Raw genomic sequence first — 24,259 nt, 5'->3', positions numbered from 1 at the left:
CACATTGTTGGAAACCTTGGCCAGAGCAATCAGGTAAGAGAAAAAAATAAAGGGCATCCAAATAGGAAGATAATAATTCAATCTATCCCTCTTTACAGATGACATAATTGTATATCTAGAAAACCCCAGAGTCTTGGTCCAAAAGCTCCTTTACCTGATAAACAGCATCAGCAAAGTTTCAGGATATAAAATCAAGGTAAAAAATCATTGACATTATTTTACATCAATAAAAATTAAGCCAAGAGCCAAATCAGGAATGCAATCCCATTCACAATTGGCACAAAAAAGAATAAAGTATCTAGGAATACAGTAAACAGGGAGGTGAACGATCTCTACAATGTGAATTACAAAATACTGCTGAAAGAAATCAAAAATGATACAAATAAATGAAAAATCATAATAAAAAATAGGAAAAATCATTTCATGCTCATGAATAGGGAAAATCAATCTCACTAAAATGCCCATATTTCTCAAAGCAATTAAAGATTCAATGTTATTTCCATTAAACTACCAAAGGCATTCTTCACATAACTAAAAAAATTATTTCAAAATTCATATTGAACCAAAAAAAAGAGCTGGAATAGTAAGGCAATCCTAAACAACAAAAACAAAACTGGAGGCATTATACTACCCATCTTCAAACTATACTAGAGGGCTACAATATCCCAAACAGCATGGTACTGGTACAAAAACAGACATATAGACCAATAAAACAGAACAGAGAGCTCAGAATAAGGCCACACACCTACAACCATCTGATCTTTGACAAAGCTGACAAAAAAACAATGGGAAAAGGACTCCCTATTTAATAAATAGTGCTGGGATAACTGGCTAGCCGTAAGAAGAATATTAAAACTGGACCCCTTCCTTAAAACATTTACAAAAATTAACTCAAGATAGATTAAGACTTCAATGTAAAATCCAAAACTATAAAATCCCTGGAAGGTAAGATAGGCTATTCAATTCTGGACACAGGAACTGACAAAGATTTCATTACAAAAGTAATCACAACAAAAGGAAAAATTGGCAAATGGGATCTAATTAAACTAAAGAGCTTCTGCACAGCAAAATAAACTACCGACAGATTGAAATGACAACCTACAAAATGGAAGAAAATATTTGCCAATTATTCATTTGACAAAGTCTAATATCCAGCATCTGTAAGGAACTTAAATTTACAAGAAAAAAGCAAACAACCCCATTAAAAGTGGGCAAAGGACATGAACAGCTACTTTTCAAAAGAGTACATACATGTGGCCAGCAAGCATATGCAAAAAAGCTCAATATCAATAATCATTAGAGAAATGAAAATCAAAACCACAATGAGATACCATCTCACATCAGTTAGAATGGCTGCTATTAAAAAGTCAAAAAATAACAGGTGCTCTGAGGTTGCAAAGAAAAGGAAATTCCTATATAGTGTTGGTGGGAGTGTAAATTAGTTCAACCACTGTGGAAAGCAGTGTGGTGATTCCTGGAAGAGCTCAAAACAGAACTACCATTTGACCTAGCGATCACATTACTGAGTACATACCCAAAGGAATATAAATTGTTGTATCATAAAGGAGCCAAATGATAAGACAACATGGACACATGGAGGGGAACAACAGACACCTGAGGGTGAAGGGTGGGAAGAGGAAGAGAAGCAGGAAACATAACAATTGGACACTAGGCTTAGTACCTGAGTGATGAAATAATCCATAGAACAAACCCTGTGACAAGAGTTTACCTGTATAACATACCTGCACATGTCCCTTGTACCTAAAATAAAAGTTAAAGAAAAAAAAAAAGACCTTGGAAGCAGTGTCAGAAGCAACGTTTCTCTCTGGACTTCTGTCTTCCTCTTTCCATTTCTTGCCCCCCAACAAAGGCAAGCTATAGAAAATAGAATTCTTTTGCCTCTGGGCGGGGATAGAAACTAGGACATTTCTCCTTCAAAGCTATCCATAAAACCTACACTTCAAAGCTATCCATAAAACCTTCCCCTATCTTTCTATGTAAGTGCTGAGTGTAAATAAATTATCTGACCTACCTTGTCAAATAGTAGGTCATAAAACCCTTATTCTAGAAGGGATCCCACTCAAGGCTTGAGAAGGATTGCCACACAAAACAGCCAAAAAAAATTGAAAAAGACATGTCTTGTTGGATTTCCCTTTTCCTTTATTACTATTAGATCATATCCATTTTGTACAATTACATTTCCACCTTACTATTATTTATCTAACATAAAAACAAAAATTGATAGTTCCCTGAGTCTTTAGGTTTTCATTTCTCAAGTCTTCTATGTCAAGTGACACTTTTGTAAAATCAATCTGTCTTACTTTTCTCTCATTAATTTGTCTTTGGATATACTAGTGGTGGCCATGACCCTTATGATGGGGAGGAAAGATACCACACCTCTTCTGCTCCTATATTCTGGAGTATAAAACAATGCAGGTATATTTTTGCATGTCAGCTGCCATTTGGAAGAGAAGAGTAACAACGTGAGTGTCTTTTTGTTGCCATGGCTTTTGGCCGGAAGGAAACTCACACCTCACTATGTGTAGGATATTGGCAAGTTTGAAAGAAAGAGAACTCACAGTCTTTCTGGTGTGATGAACTAGAAAGCAGAGTACAGTATATTGCAGCCAAGGACAAGTGTGAAGTGAATTTTAGAAGAAGGAGAACAAGAGAGAAAATGCCCATATCCTATATATAAAATGACCAAATATCTGGAGAATACCTGAAGCGTGTGTTAAAATGCAAGCAACTAAATTATAAATGAAGACAATGAAATCAGATGTCAGCAGTTTTCCAAAAGATGGAGTTTAAATTTCAAATCTAACCAATTTCCTGTCAAATATCCCAACATCCTTAAAAGAAACCTAACAGAATCCTTAGTATCCACACTATGACTACATTCAAATATAAATCAGAATAACTCAACATATAAAGAACCAGAGAAATGAGACTCATTCTCAAAAATAAATGACAATTAACAAAGACTGGCCCAGATTTTGATATCACCAGTGAAGGGTTTTTTGTTTGTTTGTTTGTTTTTTTTTTTTTTTTTTTTTTTTGCTGTGTCGAAGCAGTAATCCTTTATTTTATTTTATTTTTTTAATTTGTTTTATTATTATTATACTTTAAGTTTTAGGGTACACGTGCACAATGTGCAGGTTAGTTACATATGTATACATGTGCCATGCTGGTGTGCTGCACCCATTAACTCTTCATTTAGCATTAGGTATATCACCTAATGCTATCCCTCCCCCCTCCCCCCACCCCACCACAGGCCCCAGAGTGTGATGTTACCCTTCCTGTGTCCATGTGTTCTCATTGTTCTATTCCCACCTATGAGTGAGAATATGTGGTGTTTGGTTTTTTGTCCTTGCGATAGTTTACTGAGAATGATGATTTCCAATTTCATCCATGTCCCTACAAAGGACACGAACTCATCATTTTTTATGGCTGCATAGTATTCCATGGTGTATATGTGCCACATTTTCTTAATCCAGTCTATCATTGTTGGACATTTGGGTTGGTTCCAAGTCTTGGCTATTGTGAATAGTGCCGCAATAAACATACATGTGCATGTGTCTTTATAGCAGCATGATTTATAGTCCTTTGGGTATATACCCAGTAATGGGATGGCTGGGTCAAATGGTATTTCTAGTTCTAGATCCCTGAGGAATCACCACACTGACTTCCACAATGGTTGAACTAGTTTACAGTCCCACTAACAGCGTAAAAGTGTTCCTATTTCTCCACATCCTCTCAAGCACCTGTTGTTTCCTGACTTTTTAATGATCGCCATTCTAACTGGTGTGAGATGGTATCTCATTGTGGTGTTGATTTGCATTTCTCTGATGGTCAGTGATGATGAGCATTTTTTCATGTGTCTTTTGGCTGCATAAATGTCTTCTTTTGGGAAGTGTTTGTTCATATCCTTTGCCCGCTTTTTGATGGTGGTGTTTGTTTTTTCTTGTAAATATGTTTGAGTTCATTGTAGATTCTGGATATTAGCCCTTTGTCAGATGAGTGGGTTGCAAAAATTTTCTCCCATTTTGTAGGTTGCCTGTTCACTCTGATGGTAGTTTCTTTTGCTGTGCAGAAGCTCTTCAGTTTAATGAGATCCCATTTGTCAATTTTGGCTTTTGTTGCCATTGCTTTTGGTGTTTTAGACATGAAGTCCTTGCCCATTCCTATGTCCTGAATGGTAATGCCTAGGTTTTCTTCTAGGGTTTTTATGGTTTTAGGTCTAACGTTTAAGTCTTTAATCCATCTTGAATTAATTTTTGTATAAGGTGAAAGGAAGGGATCCAGTTTCAGCTTTCTACATATGGCAAGCCAGTTTTCCCAGCACCATTTATTAAATAGGGAATCCTTTCCCCATTGTTGTTTTTCTCAGGTTTGTCAAAGATCAGATAGTTGTAGACATGTGGCATTATTTCTGAGGGCTCTGTTCTGTTTCATTGATCTATGTCTCTGTTTTGGTACCAGTACCATGCTGTTTTCGTTACTGTAGCCTTGTAGTATGGTTTGAAGTCAGGTAGCATGATATCTCCAGCTTTGTTCTTTTGGCTTAGGATTGACTTGGCGATGCGGGCTCTTTTTTGGTTCCATATGAAGTTTAAAGTAGTTTTTTCCAATTCTGTGAAGAAAGTCATTGGTAGCTTGATGGGGATGGCATTGAATCTATAAATTACCTTGGGCAGTATGGCCATTTTCATGATATTGATTCTTCCTACCCATGAGCATGGAATGTTCTTCCATTTCTTTGTATCCTCTTTTATTTCATTGAGCAGTGGTTTGTAGTTCTCCTTGAAGAGGTCCTTCACGTCCCTTGTAAGTTGGATTCCTAGATATTTTATTCTCTTTGAAGCAATTGTGAATGGGAGTTCACTCATGATTTGGCTCTCTGTTTGTCTGTTATTGGTGTATAAGAATGCTTGTGATTTTTGCACATTGATTTTGTATCCTGAGACTTTGCTGAAGTTGCTTATCAGCTTAAGGAGATTTTGGGCTGAGACAATGGAGTTTTCTAGATATACAATCATGTCATCTGCAAACAGGGACAATTTGACTTCCTTTTTTCCTAATTGAATACCCTTTATTTCCTTCTCCTGTCTAATTGTCCTGGCCAGAACTTCCAACACTATGTTGAATAGGAGTGGTGAGAGAGGGCATCCCTGTCTTGTGCCAGTTTTGAAGGGGAAACACCTATAATCATTATGCTCATTAATATGAAAGAAAAATTTTTGTAACAAATAGAGTGATATGTAATACAAAAAGAGATTTTGAAACCTTAAGAAACAAGCAAATGACAATTCCCCAACTCAATAAATACAATTTCAAAAATTAAGTTTCATTGATTGTTGTGTACAAAGGAAAGAATCAACAAAATTGAAATAGATTAACACAACTAATTCAATATATATAATAGAGAAAAAAACACTGAAAAATATTAGCCCAAGATTAGGTACCTTTGATAAAATATTAAAACATCTTAAATATCTGTTATTTTAGTAGCAGAAAAAAATAGAGTAGACGAATGGAGTAGGAAAAATAGTATTTGATGAAATAGATAAAAAATTTTCCAATTTGGTGAAATATATAAATTTAGTAAGTAAAATACTTAATGGATCCCAAAGAAGATAAATGTTAAAACAATTAATAATACTATAGACAAGTTACTACAAACCAAAAATAACATGAAAAATCCCGAATGAAGCCAGAGTAACATGACAGGAAAATATGTGACTTCTCAAAAAAACCTATGGAGGCTGAAAGACAGTGGAATAATATCTTTAAAATTTTGAGAGAAATAAAATAAAAATATTTGTCAATTCATAAATATTATATCTTGTACAAATATCTTGTAAGTGAACTAAACACATTTTTAGATAAAAGTACTGAGAAAATTATTGCCACCAGAATATAATATACAGAATACTACAGCAGAATAAATATACTAAAAGTAACTTAGACTGAAGGAAAATGATACCAAGCAATTTTGGAGAAGAAATAAAGAGCACTAAGACTTGGATAAATGTAAAACATTGTATTTTCTTATTATCTCTAAAATATATATCATGTTTTAAAGCAATATGATACAATTGTCTTGTATGGTTTAAAATATAATGCATATTGTCATTATATCATTGAGACTGAAAAATATCCTCACATGCTGCAATGTTTCTACATTTTACCTACAGTGGTACAATATTAAACATAAGTAAAATGTTACAAGAATAGGTACAAATATTTGCAGTAGTAATTGCTATTGGGTTGAATGAGTTAGATTATTTTATATGTATACATATATACACATAAAATCAGAGAACGTGGAACAAATAAGTTAATTGATGAAACATCAAATGCAGGTGGGACAAATAGAAAACTGTGTCTAAGATAGGTATTCAATAAGAATACCCACTAAGAGAAATCTATTCATGAAGAGAACTGCCAGGATGACAGACCACCTAAATTAGCCAGAAAGTTTGCATAAAAATCCTGGACCTCAGTGTACTAACTATAAAGATATCAGGATACCTCATCAAATTAAAACAAGTTAATTAGAAAAACTTACTTCAAGGATATCAAGAAAGAATGTAGAAGTCTAGCTCATGGCATTATTGTATTGATATTAAAGGTTCTTGTAAATGAAATTGCTTGACATATTATATGACTTGTCTACTGTCTATAGATTCAACCTGCTAAGAGCATATTAACTTTAGAATGAATAAATAAATGCCACAATTAGGTATGAATCTTTGTGAAAAATAAATATGTAAAATAAAAACATATAGGAATGCTCCAATAATCACAGAACAGATACATATAAGTATATATGGGGAGGCATGTTTATATAGATAGATACATGTATTTATATGTGTGTGTACGTCATGTATGTACGCATATAGTTACATATATTTTAATATATTACATATAGCTTATATATTACATATATTTGTACACAAATTTTTATGAATATAGTATATATAAGTGAGAAAAGAAAACTGGCTCAGATTAGTCTGAACTCTGTGAGGTATGCAGGACCAGAGAGACATGAGTATGGTACTTCAGTCATTCCTCTCCATACCCATGCCATACCCATGCCTGGGGGCAATTATTTAAAATCATTACATTCCTGACTAGCTGCCTCACCAATTACCTTCATCTTTCTGGAATTTATGATACAAATAACTATGTATAATCAATCAATAACATATTTTACCAAAATTTTTTGGTAAACAACTTAGAAACTTTCATGCACATCCGTGCGAAGAGACCACCAAACAGGCTTTGTGTGAGCAATAAAAGCTTTTAATCACCTGTGCGCAGGCGGGCTGAGACCAAAAAGAGAGTCATCAAAGGGAGATAAGGGTGGGGCCATTTTATAAGATTTGGGCAGGTAAAGGAAAATTACAGTCAAAGAAGGTTTGTTCTCTGGCAGGCAGGAGTGGGGGTCGCAAGGTGCTCAGTGGGGGAGGTTTTTGAGCCAGGATGAGTCAGGAAAAGGACTTTCACAAGGTAATGTCATCACTTAAGGCAAGGACTGGCCATTTTCACTTCTTTTGTGGTGGAATATCACCAGTTGAGGCAAGGACTGGCCATTTACACTTCTTTTGTGGTGGAATGTCATCAGTTAAGGCGAGGCAGGGACATTCACTTCTTTTGTGATTCTTCAGTTACTTCAGGCCATCTGGGCATATACGTGCAAGTCACAGGGGATGTGATGGCTTGGCTTGGGCTCAGAGGCCTGACAGAAACTACCTCTTCTTTCCTCTTAACAACCTACTTGTACTTGTTAATTGGAGTGTATATTCAGGGCAACTTGAATCTATGCTCTGAAGTTGCATCTCTGAAGCTTGCTTCAAATAAACTCTCTACCTATATTAATTTTGCCTCAGCATCTTTCTTTTAGGTCAACATAAGATACATATTCTAATATATATACACAAACACACACACACTATTAACTGTATATATTTGTACTTTGTAGAGTCTGGTGAGGGAAAGACTATTACAAACACATCACATTCACATTTAAATAAGGCCGATGTTGCAGGTGCTAAGGTTAGGAGGGCACACCAATCAACACAGCTGCCATGTTTTACTCTAATTTCCATTCCTGTTGCTCTTTTATAAGGAGCCCACATGCTGTAAGAAATAAATAGATGATTTCAAATCTACTAATTATTATCATGATGTTATTAATTTAGGCCAAGATAATAATAAGATGGTGTCTGCAAAGAAAGACATCATTATAGAATTAATTGCTTTGATTAGGGTCAACACAGGAGAAAAGATTTGCATAACATTTAAGAAACAATTACTTTGATGGCTATTCAGGAGCCAAAGACATGCAAATTTCAAGAAATCATTTTACAATTCCCCTGTTACATTCAGATGCTAAGTTCTCTGATAAACCCTACTTGTTCAACAGAAAATTAAAATCACTGAATTGAAGAAGATCTAGGTAATGATGTATCATTGATGTATTCTATAAATGTTCAAATTATTCTTGGCTCTATTTTTGAATTTATTTCATGGAAACAAAAAATGGCATTACAAAGTCAATTTTAATCTCAGTGTTGATGTTGTGGTTGTTTTACCTTAATAGATGTCGATAGAAGTGGATTATAGTTATCTTTGTTAATTCATTGTTACATTTTTTATTCTCATAGTTTCTGACTGGGCAGCACATATGGAGTAAAAATGTTCTCTGTGTTTAACACCTGCTTTTAATTTTTTTCCTAAAAATGCAACCTAATTCTTTTGTTTTGCTGTTAGTATTTTTATTGCATTTTTCCTTTTAATAAGAATATAAACTCAATTTGAGAGAAAGCATATCTCAGCCATAACCATCATACAAGAATACATTCTTCAATAAGATGGACAAATTGACAATAGAGTTTGCATTTGGCATGTATATATAATTTTGTTTTCTTTCTCTTTCTCTTCTGCTGTCTTGATTGGTTTTCATTGCAATGTTTCTTTGAAGTGAATGACAGGATCATACTCAGGGTAAGCTTTGACAATTACAATTTAGACAAAGTCCTAACACTAAGTCAAGATACTTGACTCTGACTGAATATCATGTAAAACTAAAAATAGATTTTCAATTTTTTTAAAAATAACTTGCTTTATATTGAAAAATGACCATTAACCAAATGACCATTAACCAAATAGCCAAATGTTTTCTTTTAAAGCATACAAGTAAATATTTTTTCATTATTTTTAATTATTATACTCTCATATCAATGAAACATCTTACTTGGGAACAAAGAGAAAGGGTAAAAATTTTGGAAAATAAAAAGAGAAGTCAGGCATTTTAATTAACAATAATGACAATAAGTAACATCTACATGATATAGTGTTCCTAATTTTTCTTTCATATATTTGTTTCATGGTCAAATGAGACTGTAATTACCATGTTCTGGGTAAATTTTCAACAAAACTTTTCAAATTCACCATCCACAAAGCCTTGAGTAAAAGTGTCATTAAACTTAAAGTGCATCTATAAAGACATTTTTATTTTTTGAACTAGATTTATTTTTCAAAAACGGGAATAGCGAAATAGTAAGCTGAAATTTGAGCTGCTTGCAGAGAAGAAAGCAAAAATTAAGGTTGTTCTTTTGTCTTAGGTCGCATGTCAAAACCAGAACTTCTGAATGAGAGTCTTACACCAAGCTTTGTGCCATGCAGTGTGATTAAATATAAGTTTTCTAGTAAGATAGAAGCTTCAAGATGAGCTACAAACTTTACAAAAGAGAAGATTACAAAATTCATGTTTAGTAGTGTTCAATGACTCTTATCCAAGCAAATAATACCTAGATGTTAATGGTGGAGGGTGTCCAGGTTCTTGATGTCTTCAACAAAGAATTGGACAAACGCACAAAGCAAGGAAGGAACAAAGAGATTTATTAAAAAGAATAATATACTCCACAGTGTGGGAGCTTGCCTGACCATAGAGGCTCAAAGGCCCAGTTACAGACTTTTTGGGAGTTTAAATACCCCCTAGAAGATTCAATTTGTTACTTGTGTATGCTCTATGTTAATGCAGAGGATGAAGTAAAGCTACAGAGTCATTTATGGTGAACGCCCTACAGAGAGAATATTTCCTGTTATAGCTGAAGTGTAAATCAGCATTATATTCCCTGCCTCCTGACCTTATTTTTCTGCCTCATCTCCCCCCTAAGAAATGTGATCCCCATAAATCTTCATGGGAGGCAGAGGGACTGATAGTCTTTTTTCTGTAACTGCTTCATGTTGGCTTGGGGTGTAGTCCCTACCTATTGGGGATCACAGAACTCACCCTGCTTTATAGTAGGGACAAGGTAGCTTCTTCATGACCAGGGTTGATGTCTTCACCTGGAACTGACTGGAAACTTTGTTGCATGATCATATGAAACTTGAGGGTCTCTAGGAGAGAGAAAATGAATTTGGCTAAAAGATTTAATGGGACTTCAGGGGGTGCATACCTATGCTGACAGAAATGTTTGTTATAGAGATTTGCAAGAGAAAAAACAAAACCTGGCTTGTTCTAGAATCTATGTGTTTTCTTAAAGTTTTAGCACAAGTGACTCAATTTTGGTTTGGTTTGGTTTGTTGGGACCTAGTGCATGAGCTTAGTCCAAAACAATGGCCTCCCATAATTTTGTTTGAAAAATTCCCCCTTTTTGTTCAGGCTTTCACTTAGGTGAGAGTGTAACCAAAATGTAGGGCCTCAGTGCCACTCTCAGTTACCATAATTTTGGGTTTCTGGTCTCAGCACATCATTTATAGGTTATATGTGTCCTCATGGTTGCACATTTCTTTCAGCTCCTGTTATTCCAGTTGAAGGGAGACCATAAGATACTCTAGATATGGCTGCATGCAAGCATTTAAAACCTCTGAGAGAATACAGCACACCAGGGAGACTATTATTATAATTATTGGGAGGATAATACCAAGAGTTTAGAGTATTCTCCCTACTTCCCAAGGTCCCAATAAGCCAAACCTCCTGAAATCAAATAAATCAAAGAATGAGCTAGAGAAAGAGTTTACTCACTTGACTAAGCAATTTCTTCATCAATCGCCTACCACTAAATTTCTATAATCTTCATTTAATGTATTTCCCCATAGGCTACATGTGCCAGCAGCCACACAGGTTCTCCTCTGTTCAGCCAATTCTATTATTTAGCATAAGTTTCACAGGAGAATTTAAAGTTTGTTGTGTAACTATAGCCTTTACAGTAAAATTTGCTATACAGCCTACCACGAGGATACATTTCTAATCATTGCTTCTTTTACTTTAAGCCATGGACAAAGGACCTAACAAATGATGCCCATTTAGAATAGTAAAGGCCTTCTGGCAATGTTCTCTTTAACCCATGATGTGGATTAAGAGGAGTGAACAAATGTTTTGTTTTTGACTGATTATGAGACAACATATGTACCATTAAAGTTCCTTACCTACATTGGGCCTTCATCTTTTATGTATCAAAGTATAAGGTTATCCATGTATAAGGCTTCAAACTCCTTCACAAATAAAAGTGCACCCCATTAGTGCACATAACAGACCCCCTTTCCACTTCTATTTTTCATAGAGGCCTAAGCAAAAAAAAAAAATATATATATATATATATTAAAGATAAGTGTTTCATGACAGTAGAAGTCTTAATCTGTGAGCTTAGGAAAAGTTGTTCGCATCAAGGATGCCATCCTTTTTTTGGGAGAAATTTCCCTGGTTAGTTTTACCTTAAGCGTTCCAGTGGGTGCATAACTTCCAAGAGCATGGAGATACCTTTCTCAATTGTGATATTATGAACCCAAAGTTCAAGGTTTCAAAGTTTTGTTTTAGTGTGGATAGAAAAGACAGTCTTTCTCTGATGTTTCCAGAATATTCAAACCATAAAAAAGCTTTCTTTACCTGGTGAAAATACACCGAGCATAATAATCTACTGTTATAACATCAGCCCTCCTGCAAGGGAAAGCTTTTATAGAACAAGAAAGCATGAATTGAAAACAACAATGGAAAGAAATCCCTTTATAAAATGTTTAAATGGCCAACCAGGTAACTAAAGGTACATGAAGCTATAATTGATTTCCCAGGGATATGGGATCAAGCATTGGTTATAAACTATTTTAAACAATTTCGGTATTAGCTGATTTAACATAAAAGTATTTTCTTGATATTTAATTTTTTTGTTGTTTTACTTGGGTGAGTAGTTTTATACATGAAAATTTGGTTATTTCTGCGGTTTACAATAACTTAACATAATAACTGTAATTGTGATTTGTAGCATATACTTTAGACATTAGAATGTTAGAAATCTCTTGGTTTAGGATTGACTTGGCAATGTGGGCTCTTTTGTGTTCCATATGAACTTTAAAGTAGTTTTTTCCAATTCTGTGAAGAAAGTCATTGGTAGCTTGATGGGGATGGCATTGAATTTATAAATTACCTTGGGCAGTATGGCCATTTTCACGATATTGATTCTTCCTATTGACGAGCATGGAATGTTCTTCCATTTGTTTGTATCCTCTTTTATTTTGTTGAGCAGTGGTTTGTAGTTCTCCTTGAAGAGGTCCTTCACATCCCTTGTAAGTTGCATTCCTAGGTAATTTATTCTCTTTGAAGCAATTGTGAATGGGAGTTCACTCATGATTTGACTCTCTGTTTGTTATTGGTGTATAAGAATGCTTGTGATTTTTGCATATTGATTTTGTATCCTAAGACTTTGCTGAAGTTGCTTATCAGCTTAACAAAATTTTGGGCTGAGAACAGAGCTGGAGGCATCACACTACCTGACTTCAAACTATACTACAATGCTACAGTAACCAAAACAGCATGGTACTGGTACCAAAACAGATACATAGACCAATGGAACAGAACAGAGCCCTTAGAAATAATACCACGCATCTACAACTATCTGATCTTTGACAAACCTGACAAAAACAAGAAAGGGGGAAAGGATTCCCTATTTAACAAATAATGCTGGGAAAACTGGCTAGTCATATGTAGAAGGCTGAAAATGGATCACTTCTTTTCACCTTATACAAAAATTAATTCAAGATGGAATAAGGACTTAAATGTTAGACCTAAACCTGTAAAAACTCTAGAAGAAAACCTAGGCAATACAATTCAGCACATAGGCATAGACAAGGACTTCATGTCTAAAACACCAAAAGCAATGGCAACAAAAGCCAAAATTGACAAATGGGATCTAATTAAAATAGAGAGCTTCTGCACAGCAAAAGAAACTACCATCAGAGTGAACAGGCAACCTACAGAATGGGAGAAAATTTTTGCAATCTACTCATCTGACAAAGGGCTAACATCCAGAATCTACAAAGAACTCAAACAAATTTACAAGAAAAAAACAAACAACCCCATCAACAAGTGGGCAAAGGATATGAACAGACACTTCTCAAAAGAAGAAATTTTTTTTTTTTTTTTTTTTTTTTTTTTTGAGACGGAGTCTCGCTCTGTCGCCCAGGCCGGACTGCGGACTGCAGTGGCGCAATCTCAGCTCACTGCAAGCTCCACCTCCCGGGTTCACACCATACTCCTGCCTCAGCCTCCCGAGTAGCTGGGACTACAGGTGCACTCTGCCACACCCAGCTAATTTTTTGTATTTTTTTTAGTAGAGACGGGGTTTCACCGTGTTAGCCAGGATGGTCTCAATCTCCTGAACTTGTGATCCGCCAGCCTCAGCCTCCCAAAGTGCTGGGATTACAGGCATGAGCCATTGTGCCCGGCCAAAAGAAGACAATTTTGCAGCCAACAGACACATGAAAAAATGCTCATCATCACTGGCCATCAGAGAAATGCAAAGCAAAACCACAATAAGATACCATCTCACACCAGTTAGAATGGCGATCATTAAAAAGTCAGGAAACAACAGGTGCTGGAGAGGATGTGGAGACATAGGAACACTGTTACACTGTTAGTGGGACTGTAAACTAGTTCAACCATTGTGGAAGACATTGTGGCTATTCCTCAGGGATCTAGAACTAGAAATACCATTTGACCCAGCCATCCCATTACTGGGTATATACCCACAGGACTGTAAATCATGCTGCTATAAAGACACACATGCACAAGTATGTTTATTGCGGCATTATTTACAATAGCCAAAGACTTGGAACCAACCCAAATGTCCAACAATGATAGACTGGATTAAGAAAATGTGGCACATATACACCATGGAATACTATGCAGCCATAAAAAAGGATGAGTTCATATCCTTTGCAGTGCCATGGATGAAGCTGGAAACCATCATTCTCAGCAAACTATCGCAAGGACGAAAAACCAAACACAGCATGTTCTCACTCATAGGTGGGAATTGAACAACGAGAACACATGGACACAGGAAGGGGAACATCACACTCTGGGGCCTGTGGTGGGGTGGGGGGAGGGGGGAGGGACAGCATTAGGAGATATACCTAATGTAAATGATGAGTTAATGAGTGCAGCACACCAACATGGCACATGTACACATATGTAACAAACCTGCACATTGTGCACATGCACCCTAGAACTTAAAGTATAATAAATATATATATATATATAAAATTAAAAAAAAGGAATGTTAGAAATCTCATACAATTTTGGAATATATATTAGTATTATTCACAAAAATAGAACCTAAAGAAGATTGAATATCATTTTGGCAATCCCATGTAGATAAACATGTCAAATAATTCTGTTTACCTCTTTTCTGAATGTTTTCAGGGGCCCTCTAATCCATCAAGAAAGCTAGGCATTAGGAAAGACAATTTTGAAACTGAAGTTTGGTTTTGGAATTCCAGATTACCATAATTATTTATTTGGCCAAAATGATGACTCAGAAATTGTAAAGAAGTAAAAACCCATTATAACCTTTTACAGAAAAAACAAAAACAAAACAAACAAAAAAACTACTATTTTTACACACCTTGCATGTAACACTCTTTCTAGTAGTCTTCATTGAATGTTCCAGTGGTGACTCTTGGCAAGTTTAACAAGAATGTAAATCTTGGTAAGTTATATTCTGATCAGGTTAGACTGTTTCCAGCATAACAAGGGCATGGCTAACTCCACATGTCCCCAGGCCTTACCTAACTAGAATGCAGGCAAGTTAAACAATTTTCAAAAGCCAAAGCAGTTCATGACCTGAAAGCATTTAGCAAACCTAATATTTGAACAAAATTTAGAACACACGTTTACAGTTTGAAGACAATTGTATTTTACCAATAATCTTTAAAACCGTCTTTATTTCTCAAAGATTGCTAAAGTTACAAGAATTAAAAGGCATTACAATTTCTACTTTCCTGACAAAATATTTGAATTAAGCACTTATTATTATTAAACTAATTAGCTAAAACTTTACAAAGCAGATACACACTGACTTTCACTTTATTTTTAACCAGTTTGCACAGAGAGAAAGAGGCCAGAGACTGACTGGTAAGAAATTCTTACCCTTTTGCCAGCATGCCAGGTTTCTGGGTTCTGTCTCCTTGAACAGCCCTAGCAACCCTGCTTGACCATATGCAAACAAACATATTGCCATGAATTAAGAATATTCACAAATACTTTACAAATTTTGGAGAAATTAGGCAGAGAGAGAAATATGACTCAAATTATATTAATGAAAGTATACTTTACATGTCACACATGTCCGTGTAAAGAGACCACCAAACAGGCTTTGTGTTAGCAACAGGGCTGTTTATTTCACCTGGATACAGCGGGGCTGAGTCGGAAAAGAGTCAGCGAAGGGAGATAGGGGTGGGGCTGTTTTATAGATTTGGGTAGTTAATGGAAAATTACAGTCAAAGGGGGTAGTTCTCTGGTGGGCTGGGGTGGGGTTCACAAGGTGCTCAGTGGGGGAGCTTCTGAGCCAGGAGAAGGAATTTCACAAGGCAATGTCATCAGGTAAGGCAGGAACAGGCATTTTCACTTCTTTTGTGATTCTTCAGTTATTTCAGGCATCTGGATATATATGTGCAGGTCACAGGGGATATGATGGCTTAGCTTGGGCTCAGAGGGCTGACATTACACACTTAAAGTATTAGAAAGCTTAAAATCCAAAAAGTTAGTTTATAAGAATAAAAAGCTGATGTGCTCCATTAATTCTTGTGGCCTGACAAAGGTAGATTAGGAATTCCATTTCTCTGGAATTAATTAATTCTCCATTAATTCCTGTGGCCCGACAAAGGTAGCTTAGGAATTCCAGAGAAATGGAACAAATGATGACTTGCCAGAAAAGGAAGCAAAATAGTCATTCACAAAATCAAATAAAAGCCTTCCACTAGAAACTAAAAAGCATCATGGTTTTATGTAGAGAGACACACAGCCAAAGCCAGATGAGAATAAACAGCAAACAAATGAAAACTAGAAGCAAACACAAATAGACCAAAAACCAACCCTAAATTTTCCTACTCAATTTACCCTGAAAGCTACGTTGTTACCTAGGGCCCCAGAAAACCCACATAATAAATATTTTATTCATGATACAGAATTCAATATCTTTAAGGTAACTAATATTATTATTCATCCTGTGCAATTAAGAAATTCACTTCAGGAACATGACCAATAAGTATTCCAGCACTATCTAAACCAAACGATAAACATAGTGTGAAGCTATGCAAGCATGTATGTGAAATTTGGCTCATTCTAAATCCAACTTCATGCTTAACTATATAAAAAAAAGAATTGCCAAACTGTCAGTGCATTTTTACAATACTTCTTAATTTAATCAAGACTAAGAGCCTTAACTATGAAAATGTTAATTAGCCAAATGTCTCCAGTTGTTTGTCAGGCTTTAGAGAATTTTTTTATCTAAACTTTTTCCACATCTTTCTTGCCTATGTAATGATTCCTTACTACATTGTTTCATAAATATCCTTTTCAAATTTATTTGAACTAACTTTTAGATAACTTCTGAATTAGACAAAATGATTCTACTTCTTTCCACTAATAATTCTTTCTGACACATTTTGTATACAGAATTATTTGTTAACTAAAATTTTATTGTTAGTAACCTAAAACCTTAGTGAAACCCTAAAATACAAGAAATCCTAAACTATTAGAAATGAGCATTTATAGATAAGAACAATTCCACAATTTTAGAAACATATTTCTCCACATTACAACCCTTTCTTAATTGGAAATGTCCCAGATATCAAATGAGCTTTGAAAATAACTTTAAGATTTTAATTTACACAAAAATTTTACCTAAAACACTTATCCCATTCTCTGAACTTCATTTTTTTTACTTTTAACAAGGGAGACATGAGACATCAATCAACATATGTAAAATGAACACAGGTTTGGCCTGGAAAGGCAGGACAACTTGAGACGAGGAGGCCTGGGGGCTTTCAGATCACAGGTGGGAAACAAGTGGTTACATTCTTTTGAGTTTCTGATTAGCCTTTCCAAAGGAAGCAATCAGATATGCATTTATCTCAGTGAGAATTTGAATAGAATGGAAGGCAGGCTCGCCCCAAGCAGCTGCCAGCTTGAATTAACACTGACATCTTAAAATATCTAGCAAAGACAAACATAAAATTCAGACAAAATGTATGGTGACAATTACAAAGGCATTTCTATTTTTATTCCACCAAGAATTTTAAAGCTAGCTTGTTTAGTAATGTTATACTTTAAGTCACATGAACTTGAAAATTGGTTATAAGGGAGGAGACCACCCCTCATATTGTCTTATGTCCAATTTCTGCCTCCAAAGAAAGAAAAAGTAAAAACTAAAAGGCAGAAATGAAATCCACAAGCAGACAGCCCGGCGCCACCCCCTGGGCCTGGTAGTTAAAGATCGACCCCTGACCTAATTGGTTATATTATCTATAGATTACAGACATTGTATAGGAAAGCTCTGTGAAAATCCCTATCCTGTTTTGTTCTGATCTAATTACCAGTTAATGCAGCCCCCAGTCATGTACCCCTGCTTACTCAATCAATCACGACCCTCTCACATGCACCCCTTAGAGTTGTGAGCTCTTAAAAGGGACAGGAATTGCTCACTCAGAGAGCTTGGCTCTTGAGACAGGAGTCTTGCCAATGCCCCCAACCGAATAAACCCCTTCCTTCTTTAACTTGGTGTCTGAGGAGTTTGGTCTGCAGCTTGTCCTGCTACAGTTAGATTTATTTACTTAATTTATGAGCACTCTTTTACTTATAAGGCAATTTAGTAGACAACAACATATAGCGATAAGTGTACATACAAATAAGCACATCTAAACGTGTATACACACACATAAACAAAGGTCCACTAGCTTGGAACCTTAGCCATGAGATAGCACTACAAGCTTGCTGGTTTTACTTTGCCCCAATAGATAACCCAATGAAGTCTCTGAACCAAAATTTTGGGTAAAGCAGTCTCCATGGAGGTTTGACTCTTAAAGGAAAAACCTCCCCAGACTCCGAAGAGCACTGGTGCCAAACTGTACCAAGAGAGAGCACCACACTTTAACCAGGCCCCTTGTTTACAACCACAGCACAAAAGCCTGTATATATGCAACATCATTCTACTTTCCCAATAGACAGAAAACTCCAGATTCCAAGCAATGTTGGGGCCAAAAAGCATTGCAACTGTGAGAGAAGATACTAAGGAGGCCTAAGATCTCAGAACCTCAGAACCTCTGCCAAGAGCATCCTCTTTGGAGTGGTTGCGGTTCACAGAACCCACGGAACATCCTCCTGTGGGGTCCAATCCAGACATCTCTGGCCTTAGGGGGTGCCACATGCAGGTTTTATCCTCCAGAGCATTCTATGAGCTTTATATGAATAGCCATGAATTGTAATGTGAACTGGATGCCAAGTGGGCCTTTTTGTTCCTTAGTGAGTTGAGTATCATGAGGGAAGAATTTAGCACATGAAAAGTTTAAGTTGCCTGAAACGTGCAAGTTTGCTCCGAGATGACCCACACATACTGATCAGGGACCATGAATGGAAAAGATTAAAAAAAAAAGTCCTCCCTGCTTTGGGGCATGGCAATTATTCCCATTCATCCCTAGGCCTAAGCCAGTTGCCCTCAATTTCCACGAAGCTACTAGAAAGCAACTGCTGAAAGGCTGAAAGAAAAAAAGAAAAGAAAAGAAAAGAAAAGAAAAGACCATCAAAAAGACCCAGGTTCCTTAAGTGAACTGGATGGTGGCAGTCGGGCTTCTCCACATTGAAATCCCTTAGTTTCACTGGCCACGGCCAGAAACCTGCAGGTGCTTCCATGTTTAGGCACTGCCCATGAAGGGTCCTGGAACAAAAAGAGAAAGAGAGAGAAAAAGATTCCCCTGCATGGAGCAGAAAGAAAAATAGGAAAGGAGAAGAATAAATCCCAAACTTTGGGCTTACCTCTTCCTCCTGGCTGATTCACCAAAATATGTTAATGGTGGAGGGTGTCCAGGTTCTTGCTGTCCTGAACAAAGAATTGGACAAAACACAAAAACAAAGCAAAGAAGGGATGAAGTGATTTGTTGACTATGAAATGAAAGTACACTCAACAGTGTGGGTGTGGAACCGAGCATAGCGGCTCAAAGGTCCTGTTACAGAATTTTTGGGAGTTTAATTACCCCCTAGAGTATTCCATTGGTTACTTCAGGTACACCCTATGTAAATGAAGAGGATGAAGTAAGGTTGCAAAGTCATTTATGGTGTATGCCCTATGGAGAGGATATTTCCTGTTATAACTGAAGTGTTAATCAGCTTTATACTCTCTGCCTCCAGACTCTTATTTTCCTGCCTCCGTAGAGAAATGGACTCCTCATTCAATACTTTAAGAATCATATTATATTTACTTAGATTAGTTATAAAGAATATGAGCTTAAATATAAAATTTCCAGGCCCACCTGAACAAAAATATAACTACGAATACAAATAATCAGAAACAACCAACAGTGAATATTGACTCCTAGAGGCTTTATATATATTATTTATCAGATTTAAAATATAATGTTATTATAAAAATTATATACTGAGTAATAATACATTACTATAATTATCAGATTTAAAACAAACAATTTTTAGAAATAAAGTTCTTCTAACATTAATTTAGTGACATTGTTAAAATATTAGAAATGGTTATTGAAAAAAATTTGCAAATTAAAGTAATCTAAAGACATTATACATCATAAAGATGCATCAAGGATATAGAAAATAAAAAAATAGATGTAACACAATATTGAGAGATAGGACTAGCTGGATTTCCTAGGCCTACTAAGAATTCCTAAGCCAAGCTGGGGAAGGTGACTGCATCCACCTTTAAGCATGGGGCTTGTAACTCAGCTCACACCTGACCAATCAGGTAGTAGAGAAAGCTCACTAAAATACCAATTAGGCTAAAAGCAGGAGGTAAAGAAATAGTCAATCATCTATCACCTGAGAGCACAGGGGGAGGGACAATGATCGGAATATATAAACCCAGGCATTCCAGCTGGTGGTGGCAACCCCCTATGGGTCCCCTCGAGTTTTATGGGAGCTCTATTTTCACTCTACTAAATGTTGCAAATTCACACTCTTCTGGTCCATGTTTGTGCCGGCTGGAGCTGAGCTTTCACTCGTCGTCCACCACTGCTGATCGCCACTGTCGCAGACTGCCACTGACTACCACCCCTCTGGATCCAGCAGGGTGTCCACTGCACTTCTGATACAGGGAGGGGCCCATTCCCACTGCCAATCAGGCTAGAGGCTCGCCATTGTTCCTGCATGGCTAAGTGCCCGGGTTCATCCTAATGGAGCTGAACACTATTTGCTGGGTTCCACGGTCCTCTTCCATGACCCACAGCTTCTAATAGAGCTATAACACTCATTGCATGCCCCGAAGTTCCAAGGTTCCATTCCTTGTAATCCCTGAGGCCAAAAGCCCCAGGTCAGAAAACAAAAGGCTTGCTGCCATCTTGGGAGTGGCCCACGACCATCTTGGGAGCTCTAAGAACAAAGATTCGCCCGTAACAATATGGAAAATAGGATGAAAACGTCCTACATCTAACACATATTTCCAAATAAATACTCTGGACAAGAGAACATAGAGATGAAGGAGCAAGAATATTCAAAGAAATAGTTCTGTAAATTATGCCAAACTCATCAAATATCATATATATAGGAAGCACAATAAATGCAGAGAAAAATATATACAAACAAATCAACAGATAGTCACATAGTATTTTTATTGCATTTTGTCTTTTAAAGAGTATTTAAACTCAATTTGAGAAAAAGCATATCTCAGCCATATCTGTCATATAAGAATACATGCTTCATGAAGATGAACAAATTGACAATGGATTTAGCATTTGGCATGTATATGTAATATAATATTGTTTTCTTTCTCTTTCTCATTAGTTTTCTTGGTTTTCACTGCAATGTTTCTTTGAAGTGAATGACAGGATCATACTCAGGGTCAGCTTTGATTGTTAAAATTTATACAAAGTCTTGAGGGTAAGTCAAGATATTTGACTTGAGTCAATATTATAAAAAACTAAATATAGATTTTCATCTTTTTTTAAAAAAACTTGCTTTATATTACAAAATGACCATTAGCCAAATGATCATTAATCAAATAACCAAATGTTCTCTTTAAAAGCATACAAGTGACTATTTTACTTTCATTTCTTTGATTTTAGAGCACCAAAGTCAAAAAGATGATCTTAAAATCAATATGAGGGAAAATGCACATCATTTATGAAAGAACAATTAGTTTAAAATTAGATGTCAGTGGAATAATATTCTCAAAACATTAGAAGAAAATGAATACTAACTTTACATTTTGTAGCCAAAAATTATCTTTCAAAAATGAAAACATATTATAAACATTTTCAGATTTAAACAGGGAAACAAACAAAACCTAAAATACCTTTCTAAAAGAGACAGTATTGCAGAATCTTATGAAAATGCACTCCTGCAAGAAGTATTGAAGTTCTAATAAGAATATGAGTAAAGGAATTATTGAGGTATAAGTCAATCAAAGCATTTATGGGCTACATAAAGTAACAACAAGAATAACAATGACAAATATAATAATAATGCCTAGTTTGGAGGTGAAGATTCAAAATTAAAATAGTGGACCTCTATCTTATCAAGGTTCTTCAGATAAACAAAATCAATAGAGTATATGTATATACATATAATAAGGTATTGGTTCACATGAATTTGGATGCTGAAAAGTCTCATGATCTGCCACCTTGAGCTAAAGACCCAGGAAAGCTGGTGGTGTGGTTTAAAGCCCAGAGAGCTACAGAGCCCATGATGTGAATTCCAGTCCAAGTTTGAGGGCCTGAGAACCAGGAAGAGCAAGGGGAAGAGATCAATGTTCTACCTCTAACAGTCATGCAGAGGAGAGGTGAATCCAACCTTTCTCAGCTTTTTTCTTCTATTCAGGCCCTCAGTGGGTTGGACAATACTCACTGGCATGGTGAGGGTGACTTTTTTACTCCACTTGCTAGTTCAAATGCTAATTTCTTCTGGAAACATCTTCACAGACACATCACATCCAAAAATAATATTTAAGGAGATATCTGAGTCTCCTGTCGCCCAGTCAAGTTGACATATAAAATTAATCATTACAATCTCAGAAGATAGTAATTTAGAAAAAGGAGGAATGTAGTTAAAGTATTCCTAAGAGTGATTACAACGAATATGTCATCATAGTTACAAGTAAAATCTTCCCGTCTTCCAATGACTTGTACCTCCTTGTATCCACAGTTATGTGTAGTTTTCTGTTACATTGGCTCTGGCCATGAGCATTTTATTTGTTTACTCAATGTTGAAGCAGAATTTTTTTTTTAATGTTAATTAAGGTGTCCTTCTCTGACTTCTAGGAACTGTTTTTCCATCAAGTAATGAACACTGGGCCAGCCTACTAAAGGAGAAGATTATCTGGAGTAGAAATAAACCCTCTTAGGTGAGGCAACCACTAAACTAGCCCTCAGCCAATTGACTGTATGACTGAATTTACATGTAATACTCTATAGAGGACAGCTGCTCAAATTGCTGACCTTTATGATAGTGAGAAAATGCAATCAATGTTTTAAACCATCAAGTTTGGGGGCGTAGTTTTATTTGACAAAATTTAAATGAATATAGGTGCTGTAAAGTTATATAAGAAAACCACAAAGAATAGAAATAGAGCCCATAATTTCTAAAACAGAGCAATGAAAAAAATCAGCAATTTTGCAAAAGGGTAATAAAAATAAAAAATTCAGTGAAAACAAAAAAAATTAGTTGAGAGAAAATGTTTATTATTTTCATTCTTTTGAGAAATATCAAACTCACCTATTATAAGATCAAACTCACTTATTATAAGACAGATTGTCAGATTTTATTAAAATAGTTAAGAACCAACCAAAATAAAAAAGACTTTCAAAGTATAAAAGTTGAGAAAAGAATTAATCAAAGAAATTGGGTGTACTTCAATTTTCTTTTCTACAATTATTTTTTCTTCTCGACTGCAAAAATTCCAGCTTTGCATAGATACAATGTTATCAAAAGGAATGTAGTGTGATATATAGTGCTGGCATTGTGAATTACTTTGTGCTAGTAATTTGTGGTTTATTAAGCATATATTGCTTACCTCAAATATTCAAATTTTAGTACAGTCACTGGCACATATTTAGCATGTAATTAACATGTGCTAGCGAATTAGTTCATATCATATATGGACCTAAACACACCTTTTATATTATGAAATAGGCAGCATTTATATTCATACTTTACATCCCATCACTACTAACAATAAACAATTTTTTTAAAGCTTAGAAAATTTATAAAGTTTATTTTTCTGTTAACTCCTCCAGAATTACCTGGGGTAATTACTATGCATGTCTTAATAAATTGCTACCAACTTTAATCCATCTGGATTAGAAATGACTGATGTCTATCCTTGTCTCCATTCTTGATGCTCAACAGTCTGTTCACTACTTGGTGGCTAAAATGAGGTTTCAAAATGTTACATTGCATTATCACCTGACTCATACTGCCCAAATATTTTCCCAGAGATTTGGAGTGAAATACAAATTTCTCACTGAGATGGTTAAGATATTGCTATTGGCATTATCAATGGATATCAATGGCTACAACTGCTACTTTATACTGCTGCTTCTACTTGGCACTGTACACTCTGATACTCTGCTGCCATCACTTAACACTGTAATGTTTTGTGTTCTTCCTTTTGCAACGCTTCCTTTACATTAGAAATTCTGAGTGGACATTCTAATCGGCTAAGTCTATATCAGGTAGCTATGTCCTACTGCCTGGGTGTGAGAAGAGCGAGTAACTGCCCCCTTCAGGTTCACACTGAGAGAAACT

The 24,259-nt window shown here is 35.7% G+C and overlaps 6 annotated features.

The window, feature by feature from the left end:
• Positions 6,856 to 7,416: an enhancer, noted in NCBI's record as "OCT4-NANOG-H3K27ac hESC enhancer chr4:65603829-65604389 (GRCh37/hg19 assembly coordinates)". NCBI's record gives its function as "activates a minimal SCP1, AML or CMV promoter by ChIP-STARR-seq in naive and primed H9 embryonic stem cells {active_cell/tissue: H9 hESC(naive and primed)}" and the evidence as "EXISTENCE:reporter gene assay evidence [ECO:0000049][PMID:30033119]".
• Positions 7,417 to 7,978: an enhancer, noted in NCBI's record as "OCT4-NANOG-H3K27ac hESC enhancer chr4:65603267-65603828 (GRCh37/hg19 assembly coordinates)". NCBI's record gives its function as "activates a minimal SCP1, AML or CMV promoter by ChIP-STARR-seq in naive and primed H9 embryonic stem cells {active_cell/tissue: H9 hESC(naive and primed)}" and the evidence as "EXISTENCE:reporter gene assay evidence [ECO:0000049][PMID:30033119]".
• Positions 7,979 to 8,540: an enhancer, noted in NCBI's record as "OCT4-NANOG hESC enhancer chr4:65602705-65603266 (GRCh37/hg19 assembly coordinates)". NCBI's record gives its function as "activates a minimal SCP1, AML or CMV promoter by ChIP-STARR-seq in naive H9 embryonic stem cells {active_cell/tissue: H9 hESC(naive)}" and the evidence as "EXISTENCE:reporter gene assay evidence [ECO:0000049][PMID:30033119]".
• Positions 17,087 to 17,618: an enhancer, noted in NCBI's record as "OCT4-NANOG hESC enhancer chr4:65593627-65594158 (GRCh37/hg19 assembly coordinates)". NCBI's record gives its function as "activates a minimal SCP1, AML or CMV promoter by ChIP-STARR-seq in primed H9 embryonic stem cells {active_cell/tissue: H9 hESC(primed)}" and the evidence as "EXISTENCE:reporter gene assay evidence [ECO:0000049][PMID:30033119]".
• Positions 17,242 to 17,536: a silencer, noted in NCBI's record as "tiled region #8732; HepG2 Repressive non-DNase unmatched - State 24:Quies, and K562 Repressive non-DNase unmatched - State 24:Quies". NCBI's record gives its function as "represses a minimal TATA promoter and a strong SV40 promoter by Sharpr-MPRA in HepG2 and K562 cells {active_cell/tissue: HepG2 | K562}" and the evidence as "EXISTENCE:reporter gene assay evidence [ECO:0000049][PMID:27701403]".
• Positions 17,619 to 18,151: an enhancer, noted in NCBI's record as "OCT4-NANOG hESC enhancer chr4:65593094-65593626 (GRCh37/hg19 assembly coordinates)". NCBI's record gives its function as "activates a minimal SCP1, AML or CMV promoter by ChIP-STARR-seq in naive H9 embryonic stem cells {active_cell/tissue: H9 hESC(naive)}" and the evidence as "EXISTENCE:reporter gene assay evidence [ECO:0000049][PMID:30033119]".

Source organism: Homo sapiens, chromosome 4, assembly GCF_000001405.40.
Source record: "Homo sapiens chromosome 4, GRCh38.p14 Primary Assembly".
Classification (NCBI taxonomy): domain Eukaryota; kingdom Metazoa; phylum Chordata; class Mammalia; order Primates; family Hominidae; genus Homo; species Homo sapiens.
The sequence above is the reverse complement of the archived record's forward strand: the minus strand, read 5'-3'. Positions and strand labels throughout refer to the sequence as shown.